This window comes from Homo sapiens, chromosome 3, assembly GCF_000001405.40.
Source record: "Homo sapiens chromosome 3, GRCh38.p14 Primary Assembly".
NCBI lineage: Eukaryota > Metazoa > Chordata > Mammalia > Primates > Hominidae > Homo > Homo sapiens.
In genome coordinates this window covers 52,793,518-52,811,005 of record NC_000003.12, presented here as the reverse complement: position 1 = coordinate 52,811,005, position 17,488 = coordinate 52,793,518, and the positions used below count along the sequence as shown (strand labels likewise).

The window sequence follows — 17,488 nt, the reverse complement described above, 5'->3', positions numbered from 1 at the left end:
CCTTCTGGAGACACCTGAGGACGACCAGAAACCATAACGAGGACGCCTTTTCACATCCTTCGCATGGCAGGATCCTTCTCCCCACTGCATAGATGTGGAAACTGACCTCAAGATGACTGTTTTAAAGCTATGTGGGCTGGGGGCAGTGGCTCACACCTATAATCCCAGCACTTTGGGAGGCTGAGGTGGGCAGATCGCTTGAGCCCAGGAGTTCGAGACCAGCCTGAACAACATGGCAAAACCCTGTCTCTGCAAAAAATAAAAAATTAGCCGGGTGTGATTGCCCATGCCTGTAGTCCCCGCTATTCTGGAGGCTGAAGTGGGAGGATCACCTGAGCCTGAGAATTCGAGGCTGCAGTGAGCGGTGATCATACCACTGCACCACTGCAGCCTGGGTGATGGGAGCGAGACCCCATCTCAAGAAAAATAATAATAATAATAATAGCCATATGGCTCCTCAACCAACCCAGGCTTCAACAGAATGGTGGGACTTGCCCACCATGGAGGGTTCCTTTCTCAGGCCTGGGCCCTTTTAGCCAGTCCAGCCTGGCCTTCTGCCACATTCACCCTGGGGCTATGAGGAGGCCTTCAAGATGGGAGCCATGTCTATGTGGCCCCTTCCCTAGAGCAACAACAGGCACCAGTCTGCCGTTAGCATCCTGTAGCCACCTGGGGGGCTCTTCTGACGACAAACATTTGCCCCTGGACTGCCCTTCGTGGCCTCTAGTCCTCTCTCCAGGGACCCCTGCACTGGGAGGCAGGACAACTTCCTTTCATGTCCCCAAGGCCACATGCCATGCCCCACTGACATTTGTGGCACTCCCCAGTCTGATTCCAACCTCCTCCAGTCCTATTGTGCCCCCTACTCTGACATCAGGCAAAGCCACTCACCGCGTCTTCTGATGGGGTACTGTCTGCCCAGCATGCCCTTACCCCCTCCCCACCCCCAGGCAGAACAGCAGAGGCAGAGGATGTGGGCAGGAGAGCTTATGTTTGCACAGTTGAGAGCAGCCTGTGTGTCTGGAACCCAGAAAGTAAGGGAAGCACCTGGTGTATGAGGGGAAGCTGAAGAGGCCATAGGAGGGACTTCTGTCATGGTTCCAAGAGCAAAGGATGGAAGATGTCATTTGTAGGGATTTAGTCAGCGAGTGGTGATCACATCTGCTCTATAAAAAGCTCTCTATGGGAAGCAATAGAGGGGGCAGGGAGACTCAGGAAGTGGCAATTGCAGTTGTCCAGGTGGGAGAGGGTTATCCACACTGGAGAGGTCTTAGAGCCCCTCGTCCAGGAACCTCTCTCTGACCCTCTACCCCACCACAGACTCATTGGGAGGATACACCAAGTGGTCATCATAAGGTACAATCAGAGGATCCCAGAGATGCCTGGCCCAGCTGAAGACAAACTTGAGCACTCATGAAAATAGGAACTGGATTACTCAACTGTACCCCCAGATCCTGGCCCAAGGTATTGGGTTTATCTGCTGAATTGATGGATGGGTACGTGGGTGGATGGGTGGGTGAATTGATGGTTGGATGGATGGATGGAAGGATGGACAAATGGAGAGATGGACAGAAAGGATGGATGGGTGGATGGATGCATAGTTGAATGATGAATAGGTAGCTGGGGGGATGAATGGATGAATAGACAGATGGAGGGATGGATAGATAGGTTGATGGGTGGATGCATGCATGGTGGAGGGATAGATGGATGAGTGGATACGTGGGTGAACAGATGGTTGAATGGTGAATGGGTGGGTGGGTGAGTGAATGGATGGATGGGTGGAGGGATGGGTGAATGGATGGTGGATAGATGGATGGATAGATGGAAGGGTGGCTGACATCCCCATTTAGATGTGGGCTGTATCTGCACTGGAGTATTATCTACTTCTAAAGGTCCTGATTGGAGCTCCTGAGCCGGGACCATTTACTTATCTTATGACTTTCCTGGATACTGAAATACATTCAACCCTTCCTGACTTCTCAGAGCCCCTTTCCTTCAGAGTCAGTTCTTTATTTTTTCCCCCAAGCTGTCATACATTTGAATCCCTAAAGTTCTAGTCCAACCAACTCTGTCTCTCAGCTGTGTCAGTGGAGAGGCCCAAGAAGTTGCCTTCCTGCTAGCCATCCCCTCTTTTGAGCTGCTGTGGGTCCCAGTTGCCTGTTCCCTGGAGCAGAGGCTCATGAAGGCATGTAGAGGCTGGCAGCTGTCTGGTCTCGACCTTGGACTTTATTTTCCCAGCCCCTCCCACAGGCCCCTCTCTGTGCCCATGTTCCAGATGCCATAAAATCCGGGCCATCCATCCCAACAGGAGCTGGTGTGTCTACTCAAAACAGGTTGGGGACAATGTAGTCAGTGTGGACACCATCAATCAGCCCTTCTCCGTTGTTGTGGACGAACCAGCAGACAACCTTCGTGCCGATGCTGGCATCCTTTCTGTAGTCTTTCTGGGAGCCCCTGGGGAAAGAAGAGAGATGCTGCAATACACGGGGTGGGTAAGATGGCTGCTAGGCTAGCGGACCTGAGATTGAAAAAGGGTGGGAAGTTGGCAATTCTAACAGCCCAGAATTCTTTGGTCAAGAATGAAGTTACATGATTACTCTTTCGAGGAAGCCAAGTTTGGGCTTTTTCTTGATTAGCAAGAGCCTGGGAGGGGCCAAGACCTCAAAGGGAAACAAGGGTACCCCACAGAAGACAAAAGCCCACCAGACTAATGTGCCTGGGCTGCAGGTGCTCTTTCCTCCTCTCGTTGCTGAGCAGGTGAGGGTGTGGGAGAAGTCTCCTCACCTGGTGACAATCAGCTGATGGTTCTTCACCACCAATGTGGCATCTGGCTTTGTGGGGTCAGAGCCTGGCCGGATGTCAGACACTTTAAAGTCAAAGGGTTGGAAGAATTGCCCTGGGAAGAAAAATATTCATGCTGTCAGCCCCTGGCCATTGCCACGGGTAACGTGGCCACTGGCCTTTCAGGGTTGATGCAAAGGCTGAATGGGGTGTTGTGAGCTGGGTACAGGGTGCCTAGGAAGGCCTTGTGTATGTCTTTCCCATGCTGCTCTCAGGCCTGAACAGCCTGCAGTCTGAACACTTCGTACCCAGCAGCCCATGCGTCTGTGCTGACATCCGGTGACTGTCCACCACGTAGAAGCCTAGAAAGTCACGGTGGACAGGATGTTTCTTCCACACCTGGTGTAGGACGACCACGAAGGTAACCCCATCTCCAAAGGAGACCACCATGTTCTTCCTGTTGATCATCATGGACAGCCTACGAGAGGAAGCCAGAAAGTGGCTGTGGGGCCCAGTGGCCGTGACACTGGGCATCTGACTCAAGGGCGTTTTGGTGGGGCCTCCCCTGTACATGGCACCCGAGGGCCCACAGACTCCAGAAACTATCTCAGGGGCGTTGGAAAGAGGATGCCTCATGCACACTGTCTCCCCTCCCGTGAGTGGATCCTTGAGTGTCTATAAGTGGGAAAGAGAGGGCTGGCCTATGAATCTGGAGGCCTGTGGTCCAGCCTCAGCTAAGCCACTGACTTCCTGAGTGACATTGGGCAGGCTCCACACCTTCTCTGAGCCTCAGTGGGAGGCTCTGGGGGATCTGAAGACAGGAGAGCTAAGAAGACAAGAGCAGCCACAGAAGAGGCAAATGGGGGCCATTATCACCTAATGCCTTCACCCAACCAGCTGAACTGTGCAGCTACCAATTCTGGCTCTGATAGGGCCCCAGGGTTTGGTTGGGGGCCACTATGGTCACCCTCCCCTGTGACAGGAGACTGGATTCTGGGGTCTCTGATCTTTCCTGTGACCCCCATGGATCTCCTGTCCTGGGATTTTTCTAAATCCCTCAAGAGCCTCCTTAGACTCTCACCCTGTAGTCCACCTTGGAGACCTTGTAGGGGAGCTTACCCATCCTGCGTGACTGTGACTGTGTCCAGCCAGCTGAAAGTGCTCGGCACGGCCCTGTTCCACAGGGTGATCTTCTCCGTTGTCACCTCCACCTGGAAGTCCATCTGAGCATTGGCGATGCCCAGTTTTCCAAAGTAAGTCTTTCTGGTCTTGGAGTCAGGGCTGCCTCTCTTGTCGCCAGTGATCTGCCCATTAACTGTGAGGCCTGCCAGAGGGATGGGGCAGGGAGAGAGACCAGCGAGAACTTCTGAGTCCAGATTGCCTTTAGGGGTGTGCCTTCCTCTTCAACCAGACTGGCTGAGGGGCAGCAGAGCGGGGGCCACAAGAGAGACCAGGACTTCAGAGCCCAAGCCTGTTGGTTCCTAGACACTCTAGGTTTGGGTCATGCTGGGACCTTATGGGTCTGCCACTTGCCTGGGCCAGGGAGTGTTGTTCAGAGAAAAGCTATTCCCCAGACACAGGCTGGGTCCTACCCTAGGCCCAGGTGGTCCATTCACGCTAATCATCTCCCAATAGCACTGGCATGTGGGGCTGAGCAAGCCTGTGGCCCTGGGCACTCCCCACCCCCAGGGGTTTCTTTGCATGTGAAGATGATGCCTTACTGGGCAGAGTGAGAACCTGTTCCCTGTGCCTACCTCGGGGGACCCAAGCCCTCCCAGGAAGAGCCCCCTGGCCCCGGCCCTAGCCCACAAGCCTCACCTGTGACTGCATCCTGAATAAGGCGCAGCACTGTGCCTGGGGCTTCATCGATGTTGAAGCAGAGGGCATCGTCTTTCTCCGGAATTTGGATGATGAAGTGGGGATCCCCGTCCACTGGTGACACATTAGAGAAGGAGCTGACTCCCGGGGCCTCTCATCATACCTGGGGCCTCCCCCAGCCTTCTGGCCTCCATGGGCTCGACTCCGAGACAGGCAGGAGCACGTGCCCAGGCCCCTGAGCCTTCCCGAGGAGCAGCCAGGGACTCACCATAGTAGTAGGGGTTTTGAGGAGGCTGGTAGCTGGCTGCAGATACAAAGGGAGAGAGGGCTGAGCTAAGCAAGTGGCCCTGGGAGGCGCCCGACGACCCCCATAGGAGTTCAGCTTATGCCCCTCCCCTCCCCTTCCCGCTCGCTAATGCCATTGCCCTCCCACCCCGCAATCTCCTCAGGGCACATTGTCCATCTGCCCATCCCGGAGAGCTGAGTGAGTAGCCACGGTGGAGGGACATGTGGCAGGGGCAGGCTCTAAGCAGTGGGAGGAGTGGCAGCTGCCAGCATGTACTCACTCAGGTAGGACATGGCGGGGCTCACCGGTGTGGCTGAAAAGCCGAAGGGCAGTGGTGAGCAGGGTCTAGGGGTTCCTTCTCCCCCAGCCCCGTGCCTTCCTCCTGTCTTAGCGCTGCTGGGCCCCAGAGGGGCCCCAACACTGGCAGATAGAGGTGGAGATGTGACTACAAAGATTAGGCTTTGGAAATCGGGCACGTCCAGGGAAGCCCTTTATGGGGCTGGTGGCAATGGGATGTGATTTTAACGTTGGCGCAGGGCTTTTTGATGTGGCTGAAATGCAAGCCATTAAGTCATCTTCTCTCTCTTGAGTAATGCTCACAGCAAACATCTGCCCCACCCCTGGGCTTCCCACCCCCTAGTTGGGGTGAGTGAGGCTCACGGCTGTCTGTTGCTTCTTGATAGTAAACACCCACCCACACGTGCACACAGGCGCACACATATGCGTGCACATGCATATATGTACTCACATGCACCGGTACATTTATCAGGGCTGTTCTGAGGGGAATGTGATGGCCCAGTCCAAATGTGCCAGTCCAAATGGAGGTGGGGCAGGCCAGTAGGGGCTGGGGAGGCCCTGCCTAGTGGCAGGGAGTTTGTGAGGTTCCAGTTTTGTGGTGAGAGAGGCACAGAGGACTGTGATCCCCAGCAATTCCCAGCATGGGCATTGGGGCCAGACTGCCTTGGCCTAAGTACCAGCTTGGCCATCTGCTGAGTCTGTGAGCAAACAGACTGAGCAAATTAACCCCCCGTGCCTCAATTTCCCCATTGTAAAATGGGGATCATAAAAGGGCCCTCTTGGAGGGTTGCTATGGGACTAATGAAGTATAAATGACTGACATGCTAAATTGCTCATTTTTGCAGGTCATAGATACTGTCATACTGATTGTGTCTCCCTGGGCAAGGGAAGCCACCCCCAATTAACTCACAGGGATCCTCAGGCTCAGAGAGGGGCACGTTCATGATTTGGCAATAGGGCTGGGCCTGAGCCCAGGTGTCCCAAGTGTGCCCCCATGGCTGGGGGTCCTATCTTGCTTGGAAAGGCCTCCTCAGTTCTCTCTTGTCTCCCTTCCATAATGCCCAACCCGGTGGCTGGCTAAAGGCTTACCTTCTGCATCTGCAGGTGCAGCAAGGGAGGAAGAAGAGAAATGCATTAGAAGCCATAGGGCACTTGTGAGCAGGGACCAGAGCTGGCTGCTTGGCCGACCAGCCCTAGGCTGTGGGCCTCCCAGCAGCCAGCTCTTCCCCCACTGGGTGTCCCCTGGAACTAGGAGTTCTTGGAAGCCAGAGGCCTGGCCTGGCCAGGCCCAGCTCTTTGCCTCCCATGTCTCCCAATGCCAATCCTCCACCACCACACACAGACCCTGTACCTAGTTGCAGTGGGCATTTGGGACCCCCTGTTGAGTAGGGCAATCTGGGGTCTGGTTGAGGGGGTCCCAGCCTCCAGCTCTCAGGGACTCTTCCCCTAACAATCTCCAGGTGCCTGATAGCCTGCTCCAGGCCTTTCATGTTGGAAGTGCTTCTTCTTGTCTAACTAAGCCCTTCCATGCTGCAGCCTCAGTCCTTTTCCTTGAAATGCCCCATGGGCAGTGTGCCCCCTTTACTCACTTCCCTTTAGAGGTGCAGAGGCTCCTATTCACCCCACACCCCACTGTCCATGCTGACTGCTTCACGCTCCACCCCACTTTCCCCATCCCGTGGCCAGTTTTCCTTCAGATGCCCTACTTCAGCAGGTCTGGGTCTCCCCAGCCTGGCCCACTCCTCCACTGGACACCCAGGTAGGGTGCCCAGCACAGGAGGCCTCCGGGTTCCGGCCTCCATCCCTATCCCCACCTTCCCCAGGCTTGTCGGCAATGGCCCTCTCATCCTCGTTGTCCTCAGGCTTGGTCACCACCATTGAGGTCAGTGGAGTCACAAAGTGATACTTGAGGGACAGGTCCAGGGCCCGGGCCGTGAGGTTCTCCTTCTCCTCGCCATGGGCGTTCTTGCTGTGAGGAGGGGCCAGTCAGGAGGACAGCCTGGAGAGCAGCACCCTGCCCACTTCCCCTGCACTGGAGCAGTGGACACAGCTGGGGATCCCCACTCCACCTTCCCCATTGTGGGGTCCCCCAGGGTACAGCCCAGTTGGGCTCAGAGAAGACTGGCTCACAACTCCCTGGGGCATGTGAACAAGCCCTGTTTCCTTGCTGGACCTTGGTTTCCCCACCTATAAAACGTAAGGACCGGCCGGGCATGGTGGCTCACGCCTGTAATCCCAGCACTTTGGGAGGCCAAGGCGGGTGAATCACCTGAGGTCAGGAGTTCGAGATCAGCCTGGCCAACATGGTGAAACCCCATCTCTACTAAAAATACAAAAATTAGCCAGGCATGGTGGTGCATGCCTGTAATTCCAGCTACTTGGGAGGCTGAGGCAGGAGAATGGCGTGAACCCGGGAGGCGGAGCTTGCAGTGAGCCGAGATCCCGCCACTGCACTCCAGCCTGGGCGACAGAGCGAGACTCCGTCTCAAAAAAAAAAATAATAATAATAAAATAAAATAAATAAATAAATAAATAAATAAATAAATAAATAAATAAAATAAGGGGCTACAACAGCCACTCGCAATGGTGTCCATGTGCAGAGCACTCAGCATGTGCTAGATTGTGTACTAACGGCTTCACAGTCTAATCCCACCCACACCAACACTGACCCTCTCAGTGGGCTCAGCTCTGCCCTCTGGGCACTGAGGGCTGGGATCCCGGCCTTCAGTTCCACTCAGCCTCACCACCCCTGGGCCATGCCCAGTGTGGGCAGCAGGGTGCTGAAGTCCCCCCTACCCCGGGGCACTCCCAGGCTGCTGGCCAGGGGACTTGCCAGCTTGAGCCTTGGGGCTGACAGGATGGGGAGTGGCGGCCTGGGGTTCCTTACAGACTGCTCTACAGACACTTCCTGGGCTGGCCCAAGAAGAGGGCAGGACCGCTGGGACTGCGTATGGGGGTGCCCTTGCATTGGAGCCCAGCCAGGGGTAGGCACAGGTGGGGGCTGGGACTCTGCTCACCGCTTCTCCAGCAGCTGCTCAATGGTGAGGTAGGCCCAGAGCCGCTCAATGTAATTCCCGAAGATGTAGTCCCGCTCCTGCAGGGCCTTCTCCATCTCCTTCATGTCCACCTCCTCTGTGAAGGTCAGGTCGTTGGTGGCCTAGGGTGGGGGTAGAAGGAGGCAAGGGGCTGGAGGCTTGGGTGGATCAGGTTCAGGGGCCACCACTCCTGGACCCTCATGAGGCCAGAGCCCTACCACTGCTGATACCCCATCCCCAGCACACTTCCAGGCCCTGTCCCCACTCACCCCATGGCCCTTCACATCTGCCTTAAAGCTGTTCATGTCCTCGTCCACCAGGCGCCCGGCCACCACGATCTCAGAGCCATCGTAGAAGTGCTGGTAAGTGTTCTGGGTGAGGTCCAGGATAGCGTTCTCGGGGTACTCCATCTCCACACCCGTCAGCAGTGGGTTGGCCACCTCCTCATAGAAGCCCTGAAGTTCGCACGGGGCCAGTCATCTCAAGCCCCAGGTCAGGCTCCCACTGATGCTGCAGCTGGGCATCCATGCCCCAGGGCTGGGCCCGTCCTAATGGCTCCTAATGTTCACTCTGCCTGTCCCTGACTGCGTCCTTCAGTCTGTGGGGGCCTCCCCCCGGCAACTCCCTGCTCCCAGATAGACACGAGGAAGACTAGAAAGGACAGTTTCAGAAGTATTTCCTATTAAAAAAAAAAAGAAATATGAAAGGACAGAGTTCTTAGCACAAAGAAAGTATTTAAGGAATGTCTGTTGGAATGAAAGCAAGAAGGAGAAAAGGAAGTAAGAGAGGCAGATGATAAAGTGATGTGGACAGGAGTGCAGAGATCTGGAGACAGAGGAGGGAGGGAATGGGGTGGTCGCCCTGCAGAGGTGGAGATGCCATTACCTGCCTAGAGAAGGAACAAAATTGCTAGATTCAGCAAATGCAAAGACAGGACGTGCAGCTACATTGAAGGTCAAATAAACAATGAATAATTTTTTAGTGTAGGTATGTCTGTTATGGGTTGAATAGCGTACTCCTAAAGTTCAACCTTATTTGGTGATAGGGTCTACAAAATAAGGTCATGAGTATGGGCCCTAATCCAATATGATTGATGTCCTTATTAAAAGGGGAGTTGGACACAGACATCCAGAGGGAAGACATGTGCAGACACAGGGAGAAGACAGCCATTGATAAGCCATGGAGAAAAGGAAAGAGGCCTAGAAAGATCTGCCCTCATAGCCCTCAGAAGGAACCAACCCACCGCCACATGGATCTGGGATGTCCGGGCTCTGGAACTGGGAGACAATACGTTTCTCTCATTGAAGCCACTTGGTACTTTGGTATGGCAGCCGCCATACACTAATACAATGTCCTGTGCAATATTTGGGGCATACTTACACTACAAAAATTCATTATTTATCAGAAATTCATATTGAACCAGATGTCCTGTGTTTGCTCTGATAATCCTGTTGAAGAAACGGGCCTGTTGTGTAGCCCAAGGACAAAATCAGAATCTTTACTGATGGGTAAGAGATAGTCAGAGGTGGATTTTGACCCAAGACGAAGCTCTTCCTAATAACTAGAACTGTCACCTTATGGAGCAGCTGTCTGAGGAAGTAGTGAGCTCCTTATGCCCGGAAGTGTGCAAGACAAGGCATACCTGCAACTGCAAATCGGCATCAGAGTCCTCATAAATGCGCCGGGCAAACCCATGGTTCTCCAGGGCCATGTTCTCCAGGAAGTTATAATTCAGATTGTTGCCAAAGCCCAGGTTATACAAGGGGAACTTGCCCCCGATGGCATTCCGCACATTCTCTTGGATTTTTTCGGGTCTGCTCTCACCTGTTGGAGAAGGGGGTGTTCACAGTCCAGCCCCAGCCCTGGGGATGGTCTAGACCAGCTCTGTCTGGGGAGACCGGACTCCTGCACATGCAGAGTTGCTGGAGTCACGACCATGAGCCCTTGTGGGGCAGGTGGTGGAGAGCCCTGGCAGAGGGAGGCAGGACCCTGCCCTTGAGGGGCTCCCAGACCACAGGGAACCCAGGGAAGAGCTGCCCCAGGTTTTCCAATGAGCCAGCTACAGAGCCAGGAGCAGCAGCCAAGCACTCCAGCCCTAGCTCAAAACCATGCCCGTGCTCCTCACCAACATTGGCATCCCCATCAGTCAGCATGATGACAATGGAGGTGCTCCTCTCTGGGATTCTGTGCTCCTCTCGGGCCTTGTTCAGCATACTGATGCCCCTCAGCAGCCCGTCATTGATGTTGGTCACTGGGACACAGACAGACAGCACCGTGGGAGGGTGTCCTCAGGGTGCCAGTGTGCAGACAGGCTGGAGCGGAGGAGGCCGGGACAGCCGGCCCCACTCATGTGCCCAAGGACCCTATCTGCCAGCCCATGGTGGTACTCAGCAAACAATGAATGAACCACCACATGAACAAACAAACAAACAACTTCCACTTTCAAATGGGGATGAAAGGCACATGGTGAAGACGAAAAGCACATGGTGATTGTGAAAGCCCTTTGGCAGAGTTGGATGGACTCCCAGTACCTCTTGCTGGGAGGAGAGGGGAGCAGTGTAGACATCGTGCCATTTTCCATATGAAACAGGGCCAAGAAGAAGGGTTCTCTGTGGCCTTATCTTGCTGGGACTTGTGAGATACCAGGATCATGGATTAGAAACAGAAAGAATGGGTTTCCCTGGACCACGGAGAAGACAGCCGATATTCTGTCTTCAAGCCTGAGGACCATCCACTCCCACCTCTACCCCAGCTCAGATCTGAAGAGGGCCTGAGACCAGCAGAGTCCCTAAGAGGGGGGTTGCAGGCTGCTCAGGGACAGAGGGAGGCACCGCTAGGAGGTGTGTGGGCTCCAGCTCCGCTCTTACTTCCTTTATCCTCCATGCTCTTCACAAACGTCCTGGCCTCCTGGAGGTTCTCGGGCGTGGCCTGGACTAAGTGCTCTTTCCATGTGGACACATCTCCACTGAACAGGATGAAATTCAGATAGTCTTCCTCTTGCATATCTTCCAGGATTCTGAGAAGGGCCTCCTTTGTCTGGAGGAGAGACAAAGAGCTGGGAGAAGCCGCAGCAGAGAGTGAGGTCCCTTCTCAGCTCAGCAGGCGGTGCAGCCCACGCCATCTGCACCAGCGAGCCCTGCCTGAGGCTTGCCACAGAAGCGGGCAGAGGCCGTGAGCCTTCTCTTATCCTGTCCCCTTTCTCCTCATTCACCACAAAGATCAGCTTTTTCCAGTTAAAAAAAAAAATCTCTTCCACCCCCTACTACCCCGAGCCCTGGCTGTGCCACTGGTGCTGATTACCTGCTCTAATTTCCGACCAGCCATGGAGCCGCTGATGTCAATCACAAAGGCCACGTTCTTAGGCACCACTGGAAGGCCTTGAGGTGCAAAGAAGTGCACGAAGTAGCCATTGACTATCTGGAAAGTGGGGAGAGGGACGGAGGCCGGTGTCCTTTTAGCAACACCACATTGACTATTCTTGCAGGTAGAAGCCAGACATTTACCAGCCCAAGAAAAAGACGTTCCTATCCCACCCTCTAGGGGGTGCTGCACCAGGCTCTAGGCCATCAGCTGTCCCACATCCTGCAGGAAAACAGCCTTGGGCTGAGGACCCAGGGTGATGGCACTAGATCCAGCTGCAGCCCCCGCCCGACCAGCCCTCGCCCCACCCTGATGATGAATCAGCCAGCCCGGGTACCTGCACGTTGCCAGGAGATTCTCTGTTCACGTCATAGGTGATAGTGAAATCTCCATTGAGGAGGGAGTCTGTACAGGTTGGGCATGAACGCTGTTGGTCTAAGCTGGGCTTGAAGGACACATGGCCCTAAGGGATGGAGATGAAAGACCTTGCTCAGCTCGGCCAGGGCCTGCCCACTGGGAGACCTCAGCCCTTAGCTGAGGGAGCAGAGGTGCAGCCTCACAGGGAGGAGCCCTTGGCAGGGCAGAGGCTAGCAAGAGCTGGAGGCCTGGGCAGCCCTGCCCGCCGGTGGCGTGCTCTGCAGCTCCCAGGACTCACTGGAAGGCACTGTTTACCACGCTCCGGCCTTTCTGAGCACCGCTTTTCCCCTTGGAGATCAGGGCTCCTGGCTGGGCACAGGCCTTGGCTGATTCAGCTTCCAGCTCCCTTTTTCTTGGCCTCACACACCCATTAGCCCAGGCTACCTTGGAGCTCAGCACTGAGAAGCTACTTAGGGAAGGGGTAGCTTCCCATTAAAAGGAATTTCTTGTAGGTTTGGAATGTTGGTGTGTGGGTGCCAAGAGGAGGGGAGGGAGAAAGGAGGAGAAAGGGGAGGAGGAGGGTCCCGGGGCAGGATGTGGCCCTGCAGAAGCCAGCAGTCCTCTGAGTGTGTGCTCCTCGGGCCTCGCCCTGGAAGTCCTGGATGATTGGTTTGTTGTTTATACAAACATTTATTCACCCACTGTCCACTGCCATTAAGGCCCCTGGAACAGCTGGGAGCCTTGGGGACTGGAGTCAACCACCTAGCACCAAGAATGAAGTTCTCTTTAGTCTTTCACCTCTCATTGTGGAGTCAGTAGATCTAAATGACTCCCTTGGGCTTCAGCCTCGGGACCTGTAAAACAGGGAAGATAAGCCCTGCCCTGTCCATTTCCCAAGGGGGAACGGGACCAGGCTTTGTAAATGGCTCCTCTGGCAGGTCATTGTCAGCAGCCCCTGCCCTCAGCATCCTCACTCCCAACCCCAGTGGGCAAGGAGGAAGGTGATAGTTGCAGATTGATCCCCAGCCCCACCCCAACACATGCATGCTTGCAGCAGCTAAGCCCTAGGCTGCAGGCTTGTTCTGCTGGAGTCAGTATTCCTGTCCCCTGCCCCACCAGGTCTGAGAGGCATCTACATCACCTTTTTCCCTGAGAAGGACTTGGTGAGGGCGCTTCCCAGGAGGTCGTTGGTGATGAAAGAGGCCTCAGCATCCAGCATGCTGATTCCCTGAGGCTCGAAGATGTCTACCTCGATCTGAAATGGCCAAAGTAAGGAAATGTCACTCAGTGACCTCAGAGGCCAGTTCCCAGAACAAGGCCAATGGGAATGAGATGGGTCTGTGGTGATGCAGGGACCCTCTAGGACAGTGCTGAGGGCCAAGCCTGGTGTCTCCCACTGCGAAAGTGACCACAGGGGCTTGGAGGAGAGTATGCTGATCGGGAGGTGTTACCACCGCCTGCCATATGCGCCCGAAATTCCACCACTGATGCTTTTCCTTTGGCTTTCAGCTTTGAGGTAGGAAAAATGCCCATGTGCCCAGTGAGAAGCCTTACAGAGGCACTTGCTGGTGTTGCTCTTGAGGGCCCAGCACCGAATCTGCATCTGTGGAGTCCATCCCAGCCTCTTCCCCTTGGCCCCAGATGCTTTTGGCCAGAACCATTGAATTCCTCCAGCCTTCCCAGCCAAGGATGGGGGATGCCGTGAGGCAGAACTTTTGTTTTTGACCCCTGTCTGAGACTGCCCCATGGGCGGGTTCCTGCACCCCGCTGCCGTCCCCCCAGGTCTGCAGGGGCGGTTGATTACCTCAAAGTGTTTGACCAGTTGCTTAGGCTGGACCTTGAGGTACATCTCGTACTTGCCCTTGTGCCTCTTCAGCAGCTCCTCGTAGGTTAGCTCGAAGGTGACTTTGCTGCCTGCAGCCACGTTGACCGAGACTGTGAACTTCTCCAACTTCCTCCCAGAGGCCCTGACCAGGGTGCGAGATGGTGACTCCCTCAAAGACTGCAGGAGCCCACCCTTCCTCGGCCCTCGGCCCCAGGCCCAGCCCTTTGGCGAGGGAGATCCCTAACCATTCTGAGCCTCACTTGCCTCAGCCTCAACGTGGGATAATGGCAAAATTATGGGCACATTTTGCTATACCAATAATAATAGCTGTTGTTGTTGTTTGTAGCCCTGAAGGCCCTTGGATCCCAGACATTCTCCCCAAGGCCTGGGAGTCCATACTTACTTGACCAAGCCGGCCGTCTTGCCCTGGGACACAGCCTTTTCATACTGCTTCTTGGCAACTTCCTTCTCCTTGACATTCCCAGGGTAGGTAACACCGTCGATGGTCCTGCAGGGAAAGAGAGTTGGGGGTAGGGAGATCACACTGGGCCAGACCCCCTGTTCCCGAGCCCAGAGCCAGCAGCCATGGTGGTACCCACAAGGTGAAGTTGGTGATGAAGGCCGTCTTGGGCAGCTCCACATCAAAGGAAACCTCCTTGGCCGTGTCTGCACGGTTGACGGCTCTCATGGTGACAACATTGTGAGCAAAACGGGAGGTCACCTTGGAGTTGATTTTGGTACTGTAGACCTCGATGCCATTGGCCACCTTTGGGGAGGTGGGTGGAGAATCAGCCAGACTGGGACACTGGAGAAGCAGGTTTGCAACCCAGCCACCTCCCTTGCAAACCCTTGGAGGCTCTGAGGCCCCTGCCCGGCACGCAACCCTCATCCTCCAGGTCTTCTACACTGGAAGACTTGGTGGCGTCTCCAGTCTCCATGTTCTGGTGGCCACCATTATTCAGATGCTTGTCCTGCCTCCTTAATTCTGCGATCCGTTTACACACCACTGCAGCCAGTGAGAGCTTGCCCTTTCCCGTCCAGTCACCCTGAGCTCCAGCTATGCGTGGGACACTGGCTCTGGAGCATCTGCCCCTGGCTCTTCCTGCTCATCCTCCACACCTCACACTCCCTCAAGCACACAGCCCAGCCCACCTCCTGGGTCTTTAGGTAATTGCCTCATTCTGTCTCCCAAAGAGGAACTGATTTCCTGTGCCAAGGGAAGTCTCCAAACACCCTCTTTCCAATAGGGGTGTTGAATTTTGAGAGGCTCTAGGGAGGTGTTCCAGCCCCCTCCCCCTAGGGATATAAAGATGCTTCGTGAGGGTGTGGCAGGGACCGCTTCACAGAGCCAGGTACCAGCAAGTGCTAAGGAAGTGTCTGCGGAAGGAAGGGATGCCTGTGAGGGGCCCTCTTGGGCTACATCCTGCGAGGTTGGAGGGGTCGTCACTCTGTGGTGCTCTTTCCCAGGAGTCCTGCGCTGTTGGAGGCTGCCAGGGCAGAGGGCCGTAAGCTGTTTGCCAGCTGTGAGGAGTCAGCTGTTATAGCCTACACCTTCAGCAGTTGGGGAACCAGCTCCATCCTGCCCTGCCCCACTCGGTCCCACCCCCTGGTGAAAGTTCTTACCCCTTCCGGGAGGCTCCGTTTCTGAAAAAACAAAAACAAACACAAACACAGGAATCAGGCCAAGGCCAACACCAAGGCCGCATGGCCTGGGAGGCTCTGGGCTGAGACCAGGGGTTCAGTGGTGCCCTGCCCCCCACACACCTGAGTGGCCCCCAGACATAGGACCCTCCAGAGCCACATGTCAGAGTAGGAAAAACTCTGAATAGATGGGGAAACTGAGGTCCAGAGAGGGGCAGGTATCCAGGTTACCAGGAGAGCAGGGCAGGGGGAACTGAACCCAGAGCTCTCTTCACACCCTACATGCCCCACCTCATTCTATCTCCCATTCTGCCTTTCCCTGGCCCCCAGGCCCCTTTAGGCCTCCTTCCAGAGCACCCCTGCCCCCGCCACACCCCGCAGGGCTCAACTGAGCATTTTGTAGAGGTCACACTCGTTTGAGACTTGAACCTTCATTGCCCCTCAGTGAAGTGAGCAGTTCCTGGTGCATTGCTCTTTTGACAGGTGGGGAAGCTGAGGCCCAGGGAGTTTTAAGAGCCTTCCCAGGGTTAGACAACAGGTTAGCATAGGCCTCAGCTGGAGCCCGGTTCTCCCAGTGTCCACACTACTCCCAGCAGCTCAGTGCCCAGCCCTCTGCCTCCTCTTCACTCCACTCAGAGGCCTTGCCCAGCATGATGCCTTCTGCCCATTCCACACCAAGACCCAGATGGCAAAGAGGGGGCAGACTCACCCCAAGCAGCCGAAAGGGGCTTCTCGGGAAGCCAGAGGCTGCCAAGCTGGAGAGCAGAGCCAAGATGAGACAGGGCCACCATGCAAATGCCATCGCTGAATACTCAGGCCTGGCCCACGCTCCTTATATGAGCAAGCCTGGTGTTTTCCAAGCAGGGTCAGTGACCTGCAGCGGGGGTGGGAGGAGTGGAGGCAGGAAGGGCCTCCGGGAAGCTGGGCATGGGTGGAATGACGGGTCCCTCGATGTGTCTGTCTGAAGAAGGCCTGGTGGGTCTTGCCAACAGCGTTGGGGCTTCATTCCTGAGAGACCGGGGGACTCGGAAGAGGCCCGCAGGAAAGCAGAAGCTGTGGGCCAACAAATGGACCCTGGGACTCCCTGGCGTGGATGATGGAGATGGGGTGTGGAGTTGCATTTAGGGCAAAGGGCATCTCAGCATTGTTGCCTCTTATCCCTACCACTGGGACAGCCTCTCTCTGGCCTCCTGGATTGCAGCCCCTCCCTTCTTGAGGCAGCCAGGGCGTGAAACTAGACTGTCACCTTCAGGCTGGGACCTCCACAGCAGAGCCCCTCGCTCACTACCCTTCTATGGCCCCCAAAGCCCCAGGGAAAGGACACACAACGATCCCGGAAGCCCAGCTGTCTCTGTGATCTGACCCCAGCTTGTTTTTCTGAGCTCACTCTCTTGCACCAGCACACCCTCCCCTTCTGCACATGTCACATCTTTCATCTCTCTGCCAGTCCCAGTGCCTCCCCTCCAGGACCCTTCCCTGGCCATCCCCTAGAGGACTATGGGACATCCCTGCTCCAAGCCCCAAGCCCCCTGAGGGCCTGCTTTGTCATGACCTTATGTTGAGGTGGATGTGCTCAGGTCTGCCTGCCCCCTCTGCACCCAGAGCTCCTGGGGGCTGGACCATGTCATGTTTCCCTCTGTGCTTCCAGGGCCCAGCCAGGGACTTGGCTGCCCTCAGCCTTTTGGGGAGTCATTGCCCTAAAAGTCGTAGTGAGGCTGGGCTCCAGCTTCCAGGACAACAGGAGCTTTAGAGGCAGGACCTGGTCTCAGTGGGGGCTGGGACCTCCTGAGCCACCTCAGGACCCTGCCAGCCTAGCCCCATCAGGGCAGCTGTTGCACACCCACCATACCCATGGCTTCTCTGAGCCAAGCTGACCCTGTGACCCTCCCACTGGGCAGCCCACTACTGAATGGAGTCGACAAGGACGGCTGGGTCCAGGACAACTAACTTATGGGGAGTTCAGCGGCCTCAGCTGAAAGCTCTGGTGCTGACTGGGAGATGTGCAGAGAGAGTTGTTGGGAGCAGAGGAACCAAGAAGGCAAAAGGCAGATGCCACGGGGCAGCGGAAGCCCTGAGGAGGGTGTGGTC

At 55.6% G+C, this 17,488-nt stretch overlaps 1 protein-coding gene and 1 long non-coding RNA gene across 12 annotated transcripts, besides 1 other annotated feature; one reads left to right on the top strand and one right to left on the bottom strand.

The window, feature by feature from the left end:
* On the top strand, positions 386 to 3,420 carry LOC124906240 (uncharacterized). Of its 2 annotated transcripts, none has more exons than XR_007095911.1 (2): positions 386 to 1,464; positions 3,057 to 3,420. It is a non-coding gene; the product is annotated as an uncharacterized LOC124906240 (long non-coding RNA). The 2 variants fall into 2 exon arrangements; XR_007095910.1 differs by lacking the exon at positions 386 to 1,464 and adding an exon at positions 2,401 to 2,488.
* On the bottom strand, positions 2,209 to 16,210 carry ITIH3 (inter-alpha-trypsin inhibitor heavy chain 3). Of its 10 annotated transcripts, NM_001392019.1 has the most exons (23): positions 16,110 to 16,210; positions 15,383 to 15,403; positions 14,359 to 14,525; positions 14,163 to 14,267; positions 13,739 to 13,901; positions 13,076 to 13,189; positions 11,915 to 12,040; positions 11,518 to 11,634; positions 11,085 to 11,253; positions 10,343 to 10,468; positions 9,860 to 10,041; positions 8,487 to 8,672; positions 8,200 to 8,339; positions 6,997 to 7,151; positions 6,272 to 6,280; positions 5,634 to 5,744; positions 5,166 to 5,198; positions 4,868 to 4,903; positions 4,600 to 4,713; positions 3,901 to 4,105; positions 3,090 to 3,259; positions 2,785 to 2,896; positions 2,209 to 2,454 (listed from the first exon to the last, which is right to left on the bottom strand). In NM_001392019.1, exons 1-23 carry the CDS (start codon positions 16,200 to 16,202, stop codon positions 2,325 to 2,327), a joined length of 2,784 nt encoding a protein of 927 aa, NP_001378948.1. In that variant the 5' UTR covers positions 16,203 to 16,210; the 3' UTR covers positions 2,209 to 2,324. The 10 variants fall into 10 exon arrangements, with proteins under 10 accessions (NP_001378948.1, NP_001378950.1, NP_002208.3 ...); NM_001392021.1 differs by lacking the exon at positions 5,634 to 5,744 and having other exon boundaries at positions 3,090 to 3,283; NM_002217.4 differs by lacking the exon at positions 5,634 to 5,744.
* Positions 15,723 to 16,612: an enhancer, noted in NCBI's record as "H3K4me1 hESC enhancer chr3:52828410-52829299 (GRCh37/hg19 assembly coordinates)". NCBI's record gives its function as "activates a minimal SCP1, AML or CMV promoter by ChIP-STARR-seq in naive H9 embryonic stem cells {active_cell/tissue: H9 hESC(naive)}" and the evidence as "EXISTENCE:reporter gene assay evidence [ECO:0000049][PMID:30033119]".